The 15383-nt window shown below is 42.2% G+C and overlaps 1 protein-coding gene across 4 annotated transcripts in view, besides 1 other annotated feature; it reads left to right on the top strand.

The window, feature by feature from the left end:
* The window catches only part of PPTC7 (protein phosphatase targeting COQ7), a 50074-nt gene that overhangs the window by 25439 nt on the left and 9252 nt on the right, over window positions 1-15383 (top strand). For 3 of the 4 annotated variants that reach the window (XM_024448869.2, NM_139283.2, XM_024448870.2), the window contains exons 2-3: window positions 5912-6091; window positions 11802-12000. In XM_024448869.2, the coding sequence (XP_024304637.1) occupies window positions 5912-6091; window positions 11802-12000 (379 nt within the window). The remainder of the gene's footprint in view (window positions 1-5911; window positions 6092-11801; window positions 12001-15383) is intronic. The other variant, NR_138550.2, reaches the window with a different exon arrangement.
* Window positions 13845-13944: an enhancer, noted in NCBI's record as "active region_7008". NCBI's record gives its function as "activates an Ori minimal core promoter by ATAC-STARR-seq in GM12878 lymphoblastoid cells {active_cell/tissue: GM12878}" and the evidence as "EXISTENCE:reporter gene assay evidence [ECO:0000049][PMID:35858748]".

Here is a 15383-nt window from a genome sequence, read left to right as displayed (position 1 = left end):
TCTCCTGCTGCCATGTGAAGAAGGATGTGTTTGCTTCCCCTTCTGCCATGATTGTAAGTTTCCTGAGGCCTCCCCAGCCATGCAGAACTGTGACTCAATTAAACCTCCGTCTTTTATAAATTACCTAGTCTCAGGTATTTCTTCATAGCAGCATGAGAATGGACTAATATACCCACATTACCTAACAATAATACAGACAGAGACCACATTCACACAACATTTATTATAGTATATTGTTATAATTATTCTGTTTTATTATCGTTGTTAACCTCTTGAGTATGCCTAATATATGTGTTAAACTTGGCCAGATCCTGTGGCTCATGCCCATAATCTCGGCACTTTGGGAGGCCAAGGTGTGAGATTGCTTGAGCCCAGAAGTTTGAGACCAGCCTGGACAACATAGTGAGACCCTGTTTCTACAAAAACTTAAAAAAAAAAGTAGCGGGGTGTATCAGGGTGTGTCTGTAATCCCAGCTACTAAGGAGGCTGAGGTGGGAGGAATACTTGAGCCCAGGAGTTCAAGACTGCAGTGAGCTATGATCAGGCCACTACTCCAGCCTGGGCTAGAGTGAGACCCCATCTCTTAAAAGAAAACAAAACTACTACTAAGTCATTTTAGTTTTTCTTTTGTTGGTACTAAGTTTTTGGAATCCAGAATGTATTTTACACTTCATAGCAAGCACTTCTCAATCCAAACAAGTGAGATTTTAGACTCAATAGCCACATGTGGCTAGTGGCTCCCATGTTAGACAGCACAGGTCAGTAGCATAAAGAACTTTAGAGTTCTTGAACTGGCATTCTTGATTTTCTACAACTTTCGCTACTGCCCTTCATTTTTCAGCTTCTCCCTGCTCACCCAAGCCCCAGCATCTAGTTGTCTGCCTTTCTTTTCCTCTTGTTATCCTTCCCTGCCGTGGAAATCTGGCTGACCCCTGCCAGGGCCTATCCGAATGCCACTTTCAGAGCAGGCTGGCACTGTTCTTGAGGCGCTGCATTCTCGTGGTGTCCGTAAGCACTAACCACTGGCTGTTGACCCTCCTGCAGCAGTGTTTATGGGAGCCGTTTGTCTGGTTTCTCTGTGAGAAGTCTAGCACCCCACTAGCAGGGGAGCTTCTCAGAGACCGGCTTTCTCAGCCGTCTTATTTCCTAGCGCAGCATGCACAATGTGGTGGTCCACGTGTGGCCTCCATTTGCTCTTAGGGTATTCTTATTCTTATCCTTTGCTGTTTGATAGTTGTGTTCCTGACATCTTTGGGATCTTAAGCAATTTCTCCTTTAACAGTTTTCTTTACCTTTGACATGTATTCTGAATGAAATTTCCCTTTATATCTGGATCAGTTCCACTGTTTAAAGGGTATTCTTGCTCTTTGCAGTCTGAAGCTTTTGCTTATGCAATAGAGGACATATTAATTTCTGTGTAGAAACAACCACCTAATATGAATAAAATTAGGTTTCATATGTACGTGTAGTAGGTTATTCTAGTTTTAGTCTGATTCTCATCCCAAATACAACTCTTCCCCTTATATAATTTAGTTATATATATGCACTGTATTAAGGCTTTTTTCCCTGCAGCTTTATTGAAGAGTTTATATGCTTTTTGAATTTCTCTCTCCCCTAAAGAGATTTGGTCAGTGGTGTTTTGCTTGGCATCCTTTGCCCGTGTAAAAAAGCAAACAGGTGCCCAAAAGGTTGTGCTGTATTCTGGGAGAAATCTGATTAATGTTGAAGGGCTGTGTCAGGTCAGACTCAACCTGCTGACAGATTATTTAGTGAGTGCGAGGATCGAGGATCAACTCTAAACGTTATCTTAGATTTTAATGGTTTTCTTGTGAAGAGCATTTGCAGATGAAACCAATTTGTATTTAAAGTTAATTGTAGTTGTACCAGAGACTACTTAAGAAGAAATTCTTCCCTGAAGCAGGCAGTGGTTTGAAAAGAATGAATGATTCATCAGATAGTGTTGCAAGGCTTATAATTATATTCTGTGTTTTAACATAAATTGTTGTGTTTTAAATTATGGTGAAATCTTACTCCTAGTAAAATAAGAGTTTCTCCAAAGAAGTTCCTATTGAAATGATCTTAAATTCTTTTAATATAAGTTTCCCAAACCTCTTCACAACTCCTTGAAAAACAATGAAATGTGCTGTTCCTTGTAAGATAGATCCCTAGTTAGCCCGGTTGCTTCTCTTTCCCTCACCCCTCAATCCACGTGTTCTGTTTCATGGATACCAAATGTCTGCACGCCTCTAACCACACTGCCAGCAGATTGCGAGTGGACTATGAAATGGATCTCTTACTTAAACTCCTTCCGCTCTTGCTCTCCACACAGCAGGCAAAAGGGTCTTTTTTCTTTTTAAACTTGTTATCATTGTTATTATTTAAATGTTGTGTTATGGAAAATTTCAAATATATATCAAAGTAGAGAGATGGGTGTTCTTCTTATTCAGCTTCAACAACGATCCATTCATGGCCAGTCTTCTTTCATCTGTGCTTCTGTCACTCCCCCTTCAACCCCTTAAATATTTTGAAACGAATCCCAGAGTTTTTATTACTTTAATTAGCTAATTTGGAATTGCCCTGTCATGAAATTTGGTTTATTGGTTGGTCACATAGGTGGGGAAAGTTGCTGTCCCAGTGGTGATACACTATTTGTTGCCTTCTTTATGTCTTCCAATTCTGTTTCCTCTTACTTTTTCACGATGTGTTCCCTTTCTTTTTGTTAACTGCCATCCCCAGAGAAATAGTTTCACATGTCCAATTCATGTTAAGCCAATTTTTCAGGGATGTATATATAGGCACTCTGCTACTTTTGTACCAAATACATTCTTAAAGTTGAATGTACAAAAAATAAATGTGTGTATGGGAAGGATGTTTCATGCTCAGAAAGTTTTAAAAATTAAAAAATCCCTGTTTTAAAAAATCATATGATACATGCTCATGATAAAAATAAAATTAATACAGAATGGTATGAAGTAAAAGGCAAAAATTCCCATTTTGTTCATGGATCGTTTTCAGTTCCTTATTTCTAAAGCAACCATTGCTAATATTTCTTATGGATCCTTCCAGAAAGGCCATTTAAAGCCTTAATAATGTATATTTTTGACATTTTCTCTCAGTGTCTTTGAATTTAGTAGATAGAAATTGGTTTTAGTGTTGGAAAGAATAGCTTGGTGTTTTGCAAGAGTTTGAGTAGAAGATTGTATGATGGCTTTGATATTTTATTGACTTTCATAAACACTAATTTCCTCTTGATAAAGGAGCTCTAAGCAGACTCTGAACTCATCAGCAACTCTTTGGGCCTACGAAAATCTCTATACTAGTACTATCCAGTAGAAATATAATGTGAGCCACATATGTAATTTTAAATTTCCTAATATTCATATTAACTAAAAATAAAAAGAGGCCAGGCATGGTGGCTCACGCCTGTAATCCAAGCATTTTGGGAGGCTGAGGCAGGAGGATCACTTGAGCCCAGGAGTTCAAAATAAGCCTGGGCAATACAGTGAGATCCTGACTCTGTATTGCCAGACAAACAAAAACTAGCTGGGTGTGGTGGCATGACCCCGTAGTCCTTGCTACTCAGGAGGCTGAGGTAGGAGGATCACTTAAGCCTGGGAGTTCAAGACTGCAATGAGCTGTGATTGTAACACTACACTCCAACCTGGACAACAGAACAAGCCACTGTCTCTAAAAATAATAATAGTTAATTTTTTAAAAGGTGAAATTTGGCCGGATGCAGTGGCCGATGCTTATAATCCCAGCACCTTGGGAGGCCGAGATGGGCAGATCACTTGAAGTCAGGAGTTTGAGACCAGCCTGGCCAACATGGCAAAACCCTGTCTCTACTAAAAATGCAAGTCAGGTGTGGTGTCGAGCACCTGTAGTCCCAGCTAGGGAGGCTGAAGCAGGAGAATCACTTGAACCTGGGAGGCAGAGGTTGCCATGAGCTGAGATCACGCCACTGTACTCCAGCAGCCTGGGCGACAGAGCGAGACTCTGTCTCAAAAAAAATAGGTAAATAAAGAAAGGTGAGCTCAGTCTTGATAATGCATTCTCTTTGGTGCATTATATCTAAAATATTCTTTTTCTGTTTCATTTTTTGAGACCAGGTCTTGCTGATCCACCCACGCTGGAGTGCAGTGGCGTAATCATGGCTCACGGTAGCCCCAACCACTGGGGCTCAAGCAGTCCTCCCGCCTCAGCCTCCTGAGTAGCTGGGACTACAGGTGCACACCACTATGCCTGGCTAATTTTTTTATTTTTAGTAGAGTCAGGGACTCACTGTGTTGTCCAAGCAGGTCTTGAACTCCTGAGCCCAAGTGATTCTCCCACCTTGGCCTCCCAACGTGCTGGGATTATTGGCATGAGCCACCATGCCTGGCCCAAAATACAATTTCAGTATGTAAGTAATGAATATAAAAATTAGAGATTTTGGGGGCCGGGCGCAGTGGCTCATGCCTGTAATCCCAGAACTTTGGGAGGCCGAGGCTGGCAGATCATGAGGTCAGGAGATGAGACCATCCTGGCTAACACGGTGAACCCCTTCTCTACTAAAAATACAAAAAAGCCAGGCGTGATGGCACGCACCTGTAGTCTCAGCTACTCGGGAGGCTGAGGCAGGAGAATCCCTTGAACCCAGGAGGCGGAGAGGTTGCGGTGAGCCGAGATCACGCCACTGCTCCAGCCTGGTGACAGAGCGATGGAGTTTCACTCTTGTTGCCCAGGGTGGGATGCAATGGCGCGATCTCGGCTCACCGCAACCTCCACTTCCCAGGTTCAAGCAATTCTCCAGCCTCAGCCTCCTGAGTAGCTGGGATTTCAGTTGCCTGCCACCACACCCATCTAATTTTTTGTATTTTTAGTAGAAACGGGGTTTCACCATGTTGGTCAGGCTGGTCTCGATCTCCTGACCTCAGGTGATCTACCTGCCTCAGCCTCCCAAAGAGATTTTACTTTTTTTCATACTAAGTTTTCAAAATCCACTGTGTGTGGTTTTGTTTGTTTGTTTGTTTTTTTGAGACGGAGTCTCGCCCCATTGCCCAGGCTGGAGTGAAGTGGCACGATCTTGGCTCACTGCAAGCTCTGCCTCGCGGGTTCACACCAATCTCCTCCCTCAGCCTCCCAAGTAGCTGGGACTACAGGCGCCTGCCACCACGCCTGGCTAATTTTTTGTATTTTTAGTAGAGACGGGGTTTCACTGAGTTAGCCAGGACAGTCTCGATCTCCTGACCTCGTGATCCGCCCGCCTCGGCCTCCCAGAGTGCTGGGATTACAGGCGTGAGCCACCGCGCCCGGCCCACTGTATGTTTTATACTTAGAGCATGTCTCAAGTTGGGCTTCCCTCATTTCGGGTGCTCAGTAACCATGTAAGGAATGGCTGTTGTATTGTACAGTACCGCCCTCTACAGGGTAGAAGGAGAGGGGATGGGATATGTTCTCAGTTTTGTTCTTTATTTCCCAGCGATTGACCAATGTTTGGAGTTAAAAGGTTGCCGCTTTTGATGTTCTTTGTGATCTCCAGCTCTGACTGAATTGTATCGTCACTAGCATCAGCACTTTGCTTAAAAATCAATTTTCATTCTTATAAAAGACAAAGTATTAATGACACAAATATGTCTATACACAGATGCTAATCCTGCTGAAATTGAACTCTTGGCTGGTAGGCAATGCCACCCTGTGGTAGCTCAAAAGTTTATTCATCAATATATGAAAGGCCAAATTCTAAGTAGTGAATGTGGCTTAGGAGTGTTAGTGTAGAATACATTAAACGTGAGTGCTTTTTATTCTGAATTTTGGAGTGAATGTATGTAGTAGCATGTAGTGAAATTAACTGTTAGGAGAAAACAGAGGTAAGAATTCCTGAGAAGTTGGTAAGATTGTTCTTTTACTGTAATTTTTGTTTTTTCTTCAGGGGTTGCAGATGGTGTAGGAGGCTGGAGAGACTATGGAGTTGATCCATCTCAATTCTCAGGGACTTTAATGCGGACGTGTGAACGTTTAGTAAAAGAAGGACGGTTCGTACCTAGTAATCCCATTGGAATTCTCACCACAAGCTACTGTGAGTTGCTGCAAAATAAAGTCCCTTTGCTCGGTAAGTGGGTATCTTATGTGTTTTCCTCTAAAGAAGCCCCCTAGATAGTTAAAAACAAAACCAAGAAAATCATTTATCGGACCAGCTTTTTTCTGAGGCTCTTCCTACTAAGCAGAGTGTGATAGAGAAACTATAGGCTAACCGCTGGGCGCAGTGGCTCACGCCTGTAATCCCAGCACTTTGGGAGGCTGAGGTGGGCAGATCACCTGAGGTCGGGAATTCGAGACCAGCCTGACCAACATAGAGAAACCCCATCTCTACTAAAAATACAAAAATTAGCCAGGCATGGTGGCGCATGCCTGTAATCCCAGCTACTTGGGAGGCTGAGGCAGGAGAATCACTTGAACCCCGGGAGGTGGATGTTGCGGTGTGCCGAGATGGCGCCATTGCACCCCAGCCTGGGCCACAAGAGTGAAACTCCATCTCCAAAAAATAAAAGAGAAACTATAGGCTAACCAGAATACGTAGTACTGCTTGGAGGGAATGTGGATAGGTACAGCCACTTCGGAAAACAATTTGGTATTAAATATGAACATATAGTATGCCACAGCAGTTGCACTTCTAGGTGTTTACCCTAGACTAGAGAAACTCTTGCACAATACGTGAACCAAAAGATAGGTATGAGAATGTTCTCAAAATGTTGCCAATAGCAGAGAACTGGGGACAACCTAAAAGTCTATCTGTTGTAGAAAAATGCATTGTGAAAAGAAACGACTTAAAGCTGCATGTTCTACTCAGGAACATGTTGTGAAGGGAAGAGAGAACATTGCAGAATTCCACCTGACAGTCTGATTCCATATATTTCAAGTTTAGAAACATAAAAAGTTAAAACTGTATTGTTGAGGGATTCTAAAATTTGGTAAAAGAAGAAAGAAGAGCAAGAGGAAAGAAAAGAAATGGTCTGGCCTGCAAAATTCAGTTCATTACCTGTGATGAGTTCAAGTTGTGTTTGGTCACCCCACACTGCTAACAGGTGATTAGTCGGTGAAATAACTTGGCACAAATTAGATCCCCGATAATCTTGTATTAGAAAACTTAAAACCAAGTATTTAGGGTTTGTTTATGTGGTATGCTAATGGAGCATCCTTTGGCCAGGCCTCTACGTTTGTTTGTTACATGATTTCCTGGGAACTTACCCAGCCTTCTAAGCAGTCTCTCAGAGAGGGTATTATTACGTTTCTGCTCATAGCCAGCATCTTTCTAGTTACTAGAAGGCCTCCTTCCCAGTCACCATTGACATTTAAAATCAGCCCCTGTTCGGCCAGGGGCGGCAGCTCACGCCTGTAATCCCAACACTTTGGGAGGCCGAGGTGGGCGGATCATGAGGTCAGGAGATTGAGACCATCGTGGCTAACACAGTGAAACCCTGTCTCTACTAAAAATACAAAAAATTAGCCGGGTGTGGTGGTGGGCACCTGTGGTCCCAGCTACTTAGGAGGCTGAGTCAAGAGAATGGTGTGAACCTGGGAGGCGGAGCTTGCAGTGAGCCAAAATCGCGCCACTGCACTCCAGCGTGGGCGACAGAGCAAGACTCCATCTCCAAAAAAAAAAAAAAAAAAAAAAAATCAGCCCCTGTTTAGCGTTAATGGAGATCACCACAGTTGTTATAGAATTTGCTTTCAGTTTAAGCCCTTTGTAAGGAGTTCTTTTTATCAGTCTGCTGTCTTCTGTCTTTGTGCTGTGATTAACTAACTTGTTTTCCTTCAAACTGAAAAGGGATCTTGTCTTGCAGTTTCAATATATACTGCTTTGTCTTAATTCCCTGTTTTGGACATGCAATCTGGAGCTTGTCTGGCATAGTGAAACATTCTAGATGCTATTTCTAGCACCTCTCTGTCAACTTGCTGTGTGACTTTGGGCAAGCCACTTAACCTGTGATCTCCTTGCTTCACATGTTAAATGGAGAGAGAGCCCCTAGACACAGATTCCAGGGGACTGCCTCCTGCATGTTCTCAAGAGTGGCTCTGCTGACCCTCTGACCCCCGATCATTTACTTTGACTTGAGATAACTGGTTACAAAACACGTAACCATCCTGATTTTACACTTTAGAAGCTTTGGTTTTTGCTGTGCCTTTTTCTTTTTCCTATTCCTACTTTCCCTTTCTGTTCACCCTCATGTAACTGGGAGATATTAATAAAATACATTTAAATTTAATATTAGAGAAAATAATATTTTCTTACATTGAATATTGTGATTACTTTTTTCTCCTAAAAGGCACATTGAAATAATCTTTCATCACCATGTTTGACACACCTTTTTTTCACAAAATCTACACATCTCTAGGCTGTTTGTAATGAAACTCAAGCATATTTTGACAAAGACAAGCTGCTGAGTTTTACTGAACTTCAGCTAGATATAATTGTAAATCATGACAACTTTACCAGATAAGTTAGTTAGGTAATTTTTTTTTTTTAATCCAGCAACTGCTAAAAAGCCTACAAAGCAATTCCAATATAAAAGGCAAGCTGGTAGCTGTAACCACTTATTTCTTTGACTTTCTAGCTGCGTTTGGGTCTAAGGGCATTACAGACTAATTGTTGGCATATATGATTTCCTCAGAAACCTTTAAATGGATTGATAAGGTCCTAAGCAGCCAGAGTATCTTAAGAACCTGAGGGGTTGGTCCTAATAAAGTTATCCCTTTTTCTGCCATACAAAAGGCTTAGTAGTAGTTTACAAAATAAGGAGCTGGGTGATAAAAATATTTCCATTTGAGCATGAGGGACTCGCCTGGGTTCCTGTCTATATGGGTCATTTGTCTAAACATCCTACACTGTGGTTCTCAGCACCGCTTTTCTTACTCATCTTTGCCTGCTTGTGCCTCTCCAAACACGTGAGAATGATTAGCTCTTCTCCCAATATTAGGCTGCTGGGGCCTGAGCCACGTGCACACATCAGGAATTTGAGGAGGCAAAAGAGGAGGGTACACTCCAAGCCCAGATGGTTCTGTAAGGCTGGGCTTATACTTGTTGGTGCTGCTTTGGATACTGAAGCTCAGTCACTCACCAGGACTGTTTTGATTCCAACTCAGCGAGTTACTGTCGCAGGGTAGCAAAGGATAGCCTGGCTTCGTCAGTGAGTATATAAGGAGTCACATGAGTCCTTCTTGCAGCAGAATTTTCAAGGATGTGCTACTCGGGTTGTTTTTCTTTCTCAGAATATAATCCCATGAGTTTTCAGAAGATGTTTTGGGTGGTGATCTATTAATGATAAAAGGTTAGAGTTGATGTGCACTGAGTTAGGAAGGAAAGGTAATGGGCAATCTTTGTCCTACTGTAAGCTATGGAGCGGGTTATCTGACAGCACTACCAGTGAGTTACAGTACCCGTGCTTTGCTTTTCGTTGACACTTAATGGCTAGCATAGTATGAGTTAGTACTAACGCATATACTGTAGATAACAAGGAAATGGAATTTCTGGGCATTAGCATGAGAAAGACATGTATATTTTTAAGTGTTTTTAAATTACTTTGTTAGGACAAAATTAATAATAAAAATTACCCATGATCCCACTAAAACAACTATTAATATTTGAGTGATTATGCTTTCAGATTTTTTTTCTGTGTGTATGTGTGCATAGAATAATGGTAACTTGAATTGAGTCTACTATGTGCCCACAACAGCCCCATGAGGTAAATACATAGGTACTTAATTTTATTCCCCTCCACCTTTTTTTTTTTTTTGAGACAGAGTCTTGCACTGTTGCCCATGCTAGAGTGCAGTGGTGCAATCTCAGCTCACTGAAACCTCTGCCCCCCGGGTTCAAACAATTCTTGTGCCCCAGCCTCCGAAGTAGCTGGGATTACAGGTGTGCACCACCACGTCCAGCTAATTTTTTGTGTTTTTAGTAGAGAGGGGATTTCACCATGTTGGCCAGGCTTAGTCTCGAACTCCTGGCCTCAAGTGATCCACCCGCCTCAGCCTCTCAAAGTGCTGGGATTACAGGCATGACCCACCACGCCTGAACTATTCTCCATTTTGTTAGGAAGAAACAAGTCTGGAGAGAATAAGTGACTTGCCATGGTCACATAGCTGGAAAATGATGGCACACTGGGATTTAATATGGCTGGTTCCGTGGCCCATTTGTGTTGTTTTCCTTTTAACCATCATTTTAATAATTTAGACTTTGCCTATTGCTTTTTTAAAAAAATTGACTTCTAGTAAACTTTACTCTTTTTGGTGTACAGTTCTTTAGGTTTTGACATCATCTTTTTTTGTTGTTGTTAAGGAAACTTTCATATGAGTTTGTAATCTACTTATTTTATAGTTATCTTTCCTTTCAAATATATTTTACATAATCTTAATGGCTATAAAATAGCCAACACTATCTGTTATAAGGGTTTGACATGACTTAACTAATTTTAATTCTTAGAAAAATTCTATGAGGTACTTACTGTTATCCCTGTTTTTGTGGATGAGGAAACTGGGGCACAGAGAGGTTAAGTAGTTTGCCCCATCACAGAGCTGGGAAGTGGCAGAGCTGGGATTCAGACACAGGCAGGAAGCAGGCTGACTCCAGAGCCTGTACTCCTGAGTATTACGTGATGGTGTATCTTTGCACTGTATGGATGTACTGTAATTTATTTAACCAGTCCCTTATTTTAGATGTTTAGATTGTTTCCAGTTCTTTCTCATCTTAAGTAATATTTTTGTACTTAAGTCTTGTTTGCCCTTCTAATTATTTTCTTAGCGTAAATTCTCAGAGATGGAATTGCTAGATGAAAGGAGGTACATTTTTCCGGGCTATCTTGCGCTCCAGGAAAGTTGTTTACTTTTACTTTTCACTCCCGCAGAATGAATGTTCTGTGCAGTGGGCATGTTCCCTACACTTTGCCAACAATATGCATTATCTTCTTTTGACTCGTGTTAAACTAATAGGTGAAAAGCGTTACTAGTGAGGTGGTCATTTTTTCATATATTTACAGATCATCTACACTTATTTCTTTGTGAACTGCCTGTTTTTCTATGTTGCCATTTTTCTGGTGGCGGTAGGTAGGTTTAACTGTTAGTACTTGAGAGTGGTCTCTGCTAGTTGTGCCATTAGCCTTTCAGTCTAGGGAAGATTCTGTGGCCCGTGCACAGCAAAGCTATGCAGAGTTCTTTGCCCAGAGTCTCTGTCGAATGAACAGGTTGATTCCACAAGCTGCCTGCAGAAATTTGGTCTTGTTACCTCATAGTGAGTGAGTCATTAGTCTCCAATAAAAGTTCTTCCTGACCTCAACAGATGGAAATCTGGTTTAAAATTGTAGTTATGTGCCCTGTCTTAAATGTGAGTGAATTTTGTGGCCAATGACTAATAAGAAATGTCGGGAAAATGTAACATTTTCATTCTGGCATTGAAGTATTAAAACTTAATATCTCAACAACATGTTTTTGAGCATTTGGCATAGATGACAGCACTGTTGAAATGAAATAGTGTGATTAAATACCAGTCATTTTTATTGCTTTCTGTCAATGCAAATGGAAGAATTCAGATCATCTGTGGCCCAATTACTATGTATAATACAAATCCTTTTTCTTTCCCCACCGTGTTAACCCTGATCAGGATTTTATTGATATTCGTAGAGGATGTGGAGCATAACTAAGAAAGGTCCTGTTTAGGCAAAGGAGATTGAAATTATGGTGTGTTGCTCTGTGGGGTCATGTGTTAAAATGTGTGTGCAAAGGCAGCCTAGGAAGAAAAAATAAATGGAGATGATTTTTGTTTCTAGGTAGCAGCACCGCCTGCATTGTGGTGCTGGACAGAACCAGCCACCGCTTACACACAGCAAACCTGGGCGATTCAGGCTTCCTGGTTGTCAGGGGTGGTGAAGTCGTGCACCGATCAGATGAGCAGCAGCATTACTTCAACACTCCATTCCAGCTCTCAATCGCTCCCCCTGAAGCCGAGGGAGTCGTCTTGAGCGACAGGTAATCTCCCCTCTCAGCCATTAAGTGTGAGCAGGACGTGGCTCATTCATAGTCCCCTCCTGTCCCCCTTGAGTGCAGTGAGGTAGGCATTTCCATGAAAAGAATACACTGAGAATGTTCTCATCAAGAGGACCTTTTAGTTTAACTTTGAAAGATACTTTTCTGGAACTAGATAATCTAGCTAAGTGGAATTCTGATAAATACCCAATAATTTGACAAGACCATGAAAATACTATTTCAGGCTTACAGAATATCAATTTTTCATATCAACACCACATGGTACATACAGTACTTTATTAAATTGTGCTGGAGAAATGAGTCATTGTTCATGCATGCCATTGCTTGTACAAGATTTTGCATACATTGTTAGGGAAGAGCACAAACAGACATCTGCGTTATTTATTGGAGTAACTTCCTGATTCTCTAGACCTCTTACTACATGCATCAAATAGAACTTGCAGGAAATGGAGTCAAAATGGTCTTAAGTGACTGGGCACGGTGACTCACGCCTGTAATCCCAGGACTTTGGGAGGCTGAGGCGGGTGGATCACTTGAGGCCAGGAGTTCAAGACCAGCTTGGCCAACATGGTGAAACCCCATCTCTACTAAAAATGCAAAAATTAGCTGGGCGTGATGGCGGGCGCCTGTAGTCCCAGCTACTCAGGAGGCTGAGGCAGGAGAATCGCTTGAACCCAGGAGGCAGAGATTGCAGTGAGCCGAGATTGCGCCACTGCACTCTAGCCTGGGTGACAGAGCAAGACTCTGTCTCAAAAAAAACCAAAACAATAAAACCAAAATGGTCTTGAGGTGGGCACAGTGGTGTAGGACCATAGTCCCAGGTACTTGAGAGGCTGAGGCTGGAAAATCGCTGGAGTCCAGCCTGGGTGACATAGTGACACCCTGTCTTTTAAAAAAAGTGGTCTTGGATATGTTCTTTGATAATGTTATTGAGGTGTTCTCTTTTTCTTTCTCACATCTTTTCTCAGTTCACTTTTAAATTGTCAAGAACGTTCCAAGATGCTGCTTTTTTTCCCCGCCCCTTCTCTGAGACAGAGTCCTGCTCTTGTTGCCCAGGCTGGAGTGCAATGGCATGATCTCAGCTCACTGCAACCTCCGCCTCCTGGTTCAAGCGATTCTCCTGCCTCAGCCTCCCAAGTAGCTGGGATTACAGGTGCCCGCCACCATGCCTGGCTAATTTTTGTATTTTTAGTAGAGACAGGGTTTCACCATGTTGGCCAGGCTTGTCTCAAACTCCTGACCTCGTGATCCACCCGCCTCGGCCTCCCAAAGTGCTGGGATTACAGGCATGAGCCACTGCGCCCAGCCAAAATGGTGCTTTTTTTGAGTTGACTTTTACAGTTTATCTTTTCTTAGATGAGTGTCCAGAGTAAGGCAAAGCCTCAGATTTCAGTGTCTTTAACAATCTTATAGCTTTATAGGACCTGGCACAAACATCACTGGCAATTCATAAATGTTGATTAATGGACAATGAACCTTTTGTAAAAATAGAAGCATTCTAGCAAGTACTTGTCTCTACTTAATAGCTCTCATTAAACCATCTCTTAGGTCCAAACTAAGATAAAATGAATTATTATTGCCATCTTTTAAACTGGAACGAGCATGTTATGTAATTAAATGTTCAGCATTGCCCATCTAAAAATTTAGCAGTAAAAGTAACTTTTACCGGTAAAAGTCTAAATATTCTTCCAATTATGGTCACCAGTCTAAATCCAAAAGTAAAAAGTAAAAGTAGGCGGGTGACCATAATTGGAAGAGTATTTGATTCTAGGCCCTTCTAAAGTTGGCTGTAATCTACATTATTGTTAGCCACACTGGAGTGGGGAGAACTCTGAACCCCAAGGCCTCCGTAGAGCCCAAGCTCAGATCACAGTTTTTGGAGACTGGTGCTTCAATTTTTTCTTCATTTGATTCTTCTTGTTGGGCTTCCAAGCACCAAAGCAGCCCTGCCATATCTCACACACTGTCTGTGGGACAGACAGGTTGGGGCAGTACTCTGCCGGCATGCCAGCGAGGTGGAGGTGGCTTCCCCTAGAGCCCAGAGACAGCTCGCTAGCATGTGATTTCAGCTCATGTTTCAGTGCGGTCAAAAGTTTCCAGCAGCACAGTATGTTCAATCAAAATGGGCAAAACTGCAGCTGGCAGAACACCAAGCTCATGGGTGGGAGTGTTAGGAGAGGACGAACTGTCCAATGGGAGCAAGACTCTCACAGACAGAATAGCAAAGGACACTTCTGGGGAAAGAAAAACCTCAGCATAAAACAGAGCTTCAGTGCCAACCTGGTCATTAATCTACACTTCTAGAATCTGATTAGCTTTCAAAGGCTGAGCAGATGAGAGCGTCTTGCATTGTTTTCTCTTTATTCCACAGAAAGAATTGACCTGATTTCCCCCAGTTTTACAGTCTTTTTCCCTTTTTTTTTTTTCATGCTGCATGTATCTCCTTAGTTAATGGTCCCTCTTATCTACAGAATATTATTTTAACCTTAACTTACAGGTTTTCCTTTAGTAGACATTTTTACAAAATGTTGATTATCTAAATATGTAAGTGAAAGTCGGTTCCCTGCAGCAGCACATGGCAGAACTTTACATGTGCCACCTTTTTCCTCAGTCAAGTGAAGATGAACCAGAAATTTTCTGAGTGCATTTAGTGTGAATCCTCATAGGCATGTGTGCTTTTGTTTGTTAGTTTTTATGCTTTCTCTTCACAAATGTTGTCACATGTTGCTTACACAAGTGTTGGGGTTTTTCCGTGGAGCTTAGGGTGCTTTGGATCTGGTGCCTCCCTTCCGGGTCGGTATCTGATTTGCTTTCCTGGCTCTTGTTCCTTAATTACAGATTAAGGCGGATTATCAGATCTCACCTTTCCCTCCCCAGGGAGGCCTGGAAGGAGGGAAACTGGCCTTAAGAAGTCGCCAAGAACCAGCCTCAGGAGGCCATGATCTCTGAATATAGGATCTTTTCTCCCCACCCGGGGTTTTCCCCCATTTTTATGTCTGTTTTCATCAGGCATTGTCAGAGAAAAAGATCTTCCATCTGTTTTTTTTTTCAAGAGTTGTACACAAAAAAGTTTAGTGAGACATCTGCCTCCTGTTCCTGCCCTTAGCCACATATTCTGTCCTCAAAGGTTTCTTTATGAGCAGTTTCTTTAGTTTCTTTTTCTTTTTTTTTTTTTTTTTTTTTTTTTTGAGACAGAGTCTCGCTCTGCTGCCCAGGCTGCTGGAGTGCAGTGGCGCAATCTCGGCTCACTGCTACTGCTGCCTCCCTGGCTCTAGCAATTCTCCTGCTTCAGCCTCCCGAGTAGCTGGAATTACAGGTGTGCACCACCATGATCTAACTTTTTGTATTTTTTAGTAGAGACAGGG

The sequence above is a fragment of the Homo sapiens genome, chromosome 12 (genome assembly GCF_000001405.40).
Source record: "Homo sapiens chromosome 12, GRCh38.p14 Primary Assembly".
Lineage (NCBI taxonomy): Eukaryota > Metazoa > Chordata > Mammalia > Primates > Hominidae > Homo > Homo sapiens.
This window is presented reverse-complemented; position numbering and strand designations above follow the sequence as displayed.